Source organism: Homo sapiens, chromosome 4, assembly GCF_000001405.40.
Source record: "Homo sapiens chromosome 4, GRCh38.p14 Primary Assembly".
Lineage (NCBI taxonomy): Eukaryota > Metazoa > Chordata > Mammalia > Primates > Hominidae > Homo > Homo sapiens.
In genome coordinates, this window is record NC_000004.12 from 82,455,840 (window position 1) to 82,461,839 (window position 6,000).

The 6,000-nt window shown below is 39.3% G+C and overlaps 1 protein-coding gene across 3 annotated transcripts in view; it reads left to right on the top strand.

Moving 5' to 3' along the window:
• Positions 1 to 5,338, top strand: part of ENOPH1 (enolase-phosphatase 1) — a 30,588-nt gene extending 25,250 nt beyond the window's left edge. For all 3 annotated transcript variants that reach the window (NR_120457.2, NM_021204.5, NM_001292017.2), the window contains 2 exons: positions 1,076 to 1,199; positions 4,142 to 5,338. Coding sequence is in view for 2 of the 3 variants with exons in the window: in NM_021204.5 (NP_067027.1) it covers positions 1,076 to 1,199; positions 4,142 to 4,281 (264 nt within the window). In the remaining variant the exon portion in view is untranslated. The remainder of the gene's footprint in view (positions 1 to 1,075; positions 1,200 to 4,141) is intronic.
• Positions 5,339 to 6,000: the final 662 nt, after the last annotated feature.

Sequence of the window (6,000 nt, forward strand, 5' to 3'; positions counted from 1 at the left end):
CGAACTTATAATAGGTTACTTACAATAGGTAACTTGGCCAGACAAGTTTTTAAAATAAATATGTATTGAGCACCTACCATGTGCAAAGAACACTTTGGCTTTGGAGGTTGTAATATTCTAATTTTAGTATTTTCCTACTTTCTGTCTTATTTTTAAATCAAATATTAATAATGAAACCCTTTAATCATTGGTGACTGTTCTCTTAATACAGATACAACTTCTTTTCTGCTCTCTCTGACAATCATGACAGGACAAAAGTACCTACTGAGTTCACTAATAAGAATTTTACTCTCTAGTTACCAAGTGAGGCAAACTGCAAGAAAAAGAAAATAAGCAAAATCAGTTTTAACTTTAAAAAAAAAAAACTTAAAATTACTTTTTTTTTTTTTTTTACCTTCCCATTGGCCAAACCCAGTTTGAGTGCTTACTATGCTTGTTTTTAGTTTGTGAAAAGTTCTGAAAACATTCAAAAGATCACATCTTAGTAACTGACCCTAAATATGGACTTATTTTAATTACTGTTGGTCAAATTAGCAAGTTACAGATTTGACTCCAATTGTTTCCAAGAGGGCAGAGACATAGACGAGCCCTTGGGTAGAATTTCAAAACGTTTTAACTAGAAAATGAGAATTTCTTGTAAGTAAAATAATAGCTTATTCATGAGGCAGGTTAGAGAAATTTTTTCATCGTAAGATTAAAGGACAGTGTTCAGAATCTTTCATCAGGAGTAAAATTCAATCCAGTGAGTAGTTTGAGTGCAAATCATCTTTAAGGGTAGGATGTAGGGCATGTTTATTTTAAACTATTTCAGATGTAAAATGAACGGTAGTGAAAACCAGGTAGATTATGAAATGATCTTATGTATGTTGAGCTGGTAGTTTTCTTCTTCCAAATGTCTGTTGCTATAAAATCTTTATTTTTACTTTGTATAGCCTCCATAAAGTTCCCTATTAAGTAGATTTTCAGAAAATACTGAACGAATGAAGTAATTGTGATTGTCATGTATTTCAGAGAAAGGCATGAGGGGCATGCAAGTGTATTTGTATTGCCAGTCTTTCCCCTTCTCTTTGTTCAGCTTGTTGATGGTCACTTTGATACCAAGATTGGACACAAAGTAGAGAGTGAAAGTTACCGAAAGATTGCAGACAGCATTGGGTGCTCAACCAACAACATTTTGTTTCTGACAGATGTTACTCGAGGTGAGTAATAGACTTCTTATATTATATACTCCAGGATATGAACTGAGCCTGGCACTACAAATACATTGCCTCTTTAAAGAAACTTTATATGGGGATCCTTGAAAAATAAAACAGTTTTACGGTTTTATATAAAGAAACAGTGTCTGGTTCAAGTTCATGTTTGAATTAAAAAAAAAAAACACAGCAGTGAAGGCAGGCTTGGTGGCTCATGCCTGTAATCCCAGCACTTCTGTGGGCTCAGGCAGGAGGATTGCTTGAACCCAGGAGTTCGACACTAGCCTGGGCAACAATGTAAGACCTCTGTCTCTACAGAAAAATTCAGAAAGTTAGTTGGGTATGATGGCTCACTCCTGTGGTCCCAGCTGCATGGGAGGCTGAGGCAGGGGCATCAGGTGAGCCCAGGAGGTCGAGGCCGCAGTGAGCCGTGTTTGTGCCACTGCACTCCAGCCTGGGTGACAGAGCAAGACTGTCTCAAAAAAGAATGAACCAACTCTGGGGGTTGCATGTGGGGAAGTGGCATTGAAAAGACTAACTCTTCTCGTTTAACTCCTTGTCCGTGATTTCCCAGCCATCGCTATGTACACACACACACACACTATGACACAGGAAATTAACAGGAAGACTTAGAGGAGTTGTCATGGGAAGGAGCATGCAAGCGGGGTTGTGAGTATAAGGGGTAGGTAGTTGAGCCAGCCAGTTCTGGGATTAAATGCACAGTTCCATTTGTGATCCCCGGACCTTTGCTCTATCTCAATATTAAGAATTATAACCCCTGTCCTTAGACCACTTATAGTTTCTTCATATTCTTGTGTTTAGCCACTTAATTTTTGTATTTGGGATCACATAGTACATCTATAATTTCAGATCTTTCTCTTCTCATTTAAGCCATTTCCTCAGTTGCAATTGTAGAAATTATTCCTAATTTTGGAGAATAGAAATAATCCCTAAATTGGCTTCAAAATGAAATTAGCTCCCTTTGATTCTCTGTAAGGAGGTTTTATTCCTGCCCTTCATCTTCTGCTGGCCCCATACACACTTAGGCCAGAACTTGGGTCATCGGCAGCTGGGATGAGGCAGGGAGCTGTCTGCCTGCTTGCTCTTTTCTCTCTGGTCCTGTTTTGGTACCACATGCCCAGACTTCCACTGCTGAGGCAGAATGAAAAACTAAGTTAATATCCCAAATAATGGCTGGGCGCGGTAACTCACACCTATAATCCTAGCACTTTGGGAGGCCAAGGTGGGTGGATCATTTGAGGTCAGGAATTCAAGACCAGCCTGGCCAACATGGTGAAACCTTGTGTCTACTAAAATACAAATATTAGCCAGGCAGTAGTGGTACACGCCTGTAATCCTGGCTACTCGGCTGGGGGCTGAGGCAGGAGAATTGCTTGAGCCTGGGAGGCGGAGGTTGGGATGAGCCGAGATCATGCCACTGCACTCCAGCCTGAGCGACAGAGAGAGACCCTTCTGAAAAAACACAATAAAATAAAAAATAAAATCCCAAATAATACCCAAGTATGAAAAAGTGTCTCAGCATTACAACAGTAGAGCAAATAGATGCTTAGGGATAAAACTTGCCCTGCAGTGAATTAGATAAAAAGCCTGAATATGGAACGGCCACTTGTAGTGTCAAGTCCCATGTGGATTGTGATGGCTTAACTTGGTCATATTCCCGGGTTGCCAGTCACGATGAAAACTTTGCTCAGGGCAGTCAGGCTAGGAAGTAGGGGTGAGTGGAAGATAGCTGCCTTTCTCCAATGGCATCTGCAGAGGTGGTCTGAAGAAGACATTCCCACACAGAGAGGGGAGTCTTGAGTACTGTTTGCTCTGGGAAAGTGACAGGCCCTTTCACAGGCAGAACAGAAAGCAGGCACTTGAGGAGGTGGGTGGGTGGAAGAAACAGCTCAGCCCCAGTGTGTCTCCTGGGAACTTAACTCTCTCAGCACGACTGCCCTTCAGTTAATCTGTTCAGGTGCTGTGACTCTTCTCCAAAGGCTGAGAAACTAATGGTGATTACTCTTACACCAAATCTAAATTCCACGGGATTTATATATATATATTCCAGATTTCTCACCAGTTTTGTTCTATCTGTCCTAGTAAGCGCCATCTCTCTTATCACAGGCCTGTATCCCATTTCCCACTCTAACTTGCTCCATTCTAGGCTGGGAGTATGACATGTTTAGGGTCTGGAGGTAAGAGCAGATATCTTGGGCTGATTAAACCATAGGATTCCATTTGTCCCATTATCTTCTTTGTGTTTTTATTTTTTTGATACAGGGTCTCACTCTGTCACCCAGGCTGGAGTGCAGTAGTGCGATCTCGGCTTGCTGCAGCCTTGACCTCCTGGGCTTAAGCAATCCTCCCACCTCAGCACTCTTGAGTAGCTGGGACTACAGGCACACGCCACCACGCCCGGCTAATTTTTGTATTGTTTTGTAGAGATAGAGTTTCACCATGTTGCCCAGGCTGGTCTCGAACTCTTGGACTCAAGTCTGGCGTTCAAGTGAACTCCTGGGTCCACCGTGCCCAGCCCCATATCATTTTAATTCGTGTTACCAACAGCTTGTCCTTTGGGAAACAGCTCAGTTCTCGGTATGGGCTGATGGGAGGAAGTGGAGGAAAGGTGTAGGACAGAACATGGCTCCATCCTTCTGCATTCATAAGTACTTAATAAAGCTCAGAAGTGTAGGATACACTGCCATTCTCTTCTGTCAAGTACAGTTACGTATTTTTTAAAATTTTATCATGGAAAAATTAAAACATACATAAAAGAGATAATAATATAGTCAACCCCAGGGTGCCCATCTTTTAGCTTCAACAGTCATCAAATCAGGGCCAAATTCATTTCTTCCATCCCCACATCCCCCTGCTGACTTTGCTGCAAATCTCAGACATCATTTTTTGGTGTTTCTGACACACACACATCCTTTGATTTTTCACAGAGGCCAGTGCTGCTGAGGAAGCAGATGTGCACGTAGCTGTGGTGGTGAGACCAGGCAACGCAGGATTAACAGATGATGAGAAGACTTACTACAGCCTCATCACATCCTTCAGTGAACTATACCTGCCTTCCTCAACCTAGAGAAGGGTTGTTAAGGCAGACCGCCCTGTTCCCCAGAGTTGTCCCTGTAGTGTCTAGGTTTATTCTAATGGTAAAAGTAACTTACTTAAAAAACATATGTACACATATGTATGCAAGTATGTATATATGTGTATGCTCAGATTAACTTCCATAGGTACATAAGTGAAAGAAGTCTCAGTTCAGTGAACACAAAACTTATTTAAAGATGCTTTATATGTAGAAATTGTTTCAAATCATACTCTAACCCTTAGTGAGGGCAAAGTGTAGTTGGTAGAAGAAATTGCTAAATACCTATCTAATGTGCTATGTTTATCAAATCGTGTACTAAAATGGAAAGCTAGTTTTGAGAAATTATTCAGAAGCCTTGTTATTTTAAAAATGAAATATTTCAAAGACTGAATATTTTCAAAGAAAATGAATAATTCATTGCCCTTGTGATTTAGAAGATTATAACAGCTGTATTTCATATTTGCCTCCTTATATATATCAAAGACCAAGGTATTTCCTTCTGCTTCAAAAGAACAAAATTGGGAAAGAAAACTCACTTGAGTCTTGATCAAACAAGTGTCTTTTACTTAAGAAGAAACTTGGTAATCATTGTGGCACCCACAGCAAGCAGTTGCCTTACCAGTGAAAAAGGTGCACTGAGGTAACATCTAAAACAGAGATGTGGTTCTTAATGTTTAACAGAACAGTTCTAATCCTGCCACGTGTTATCATTATAGATTTTATAGTTGCCTTTCTAACTACTTAGCACAGTTTGAGAATACGTTAATTGCTATTTACTATTTAAAAAGTTTTACTGAAATCAGTCCATAACATTAAGATGAGCCCTAATATGTAAGATTTTCCTCTGGAATGGATGTGAGAAATGTAAATTTTATAACAGCAGTATTTATCCTGGTTTAATTCTAATACGATGTCATGTTAATTTCATGTTGTGATTAATAAAAGCATTTTTTCTTCACTCAGTTTTATATAGGTTCCTGAACTCTATCCACATGCCGCCATAGCAAAAGAGAAACTGAAAAACAAGAATATTTAGCTCTTATCTTAATCGTGTATCATGTGTGTGTTTTAATGGAGTGCCGGTGGCAATTCATGGTTATTATTTGAGTTATGTATACATATAAGGTTACTATTCCATTTGGATAGTAAGCATTCAGGATATGAGTGGAGTTCCTTATATTTTTGAGAATCTTAACTTTGAGGTCTCTAAGGTAATGCTTGAAGGAGGGAGTTACTCTCCTAACTAATCAAGAAAAACTCACGAATCCTGGAGGAGCAATTTTAGAAATGCTTTGAATAAGGAAAAAGAAGTCTTAGAACTATGAGAGGACAGGGGATATAAAAGATTTTATGTTGATAATTTTGATCTAGTAGCCAATTAAGAAATCTAGGGTCTATGAAAATATATGAATAAAAAAGAAAGGAAATGAGTTTAGGTACATCTTAGAAATGGGAATAATTTGTAAATGATGATAAAACCACAAATAGTAATAAAAGGATGAACTTAATACCTTTTTTGGAAAGCTCATAGGCAGATGGCAGAAAGGGGTATATCTTAATGTTATTTAAGGAGTAGTTGGAAAATGAAGAAATGAGAAGATTAGGCACTAGGATCTAGATTAGAAAGGAATTGAATAAAAAGGAAGGCACACAGCATCTAGCCAGCAAAGGATTGAGGTGGAGAGGCATTTTACTACCCATGTACACTGA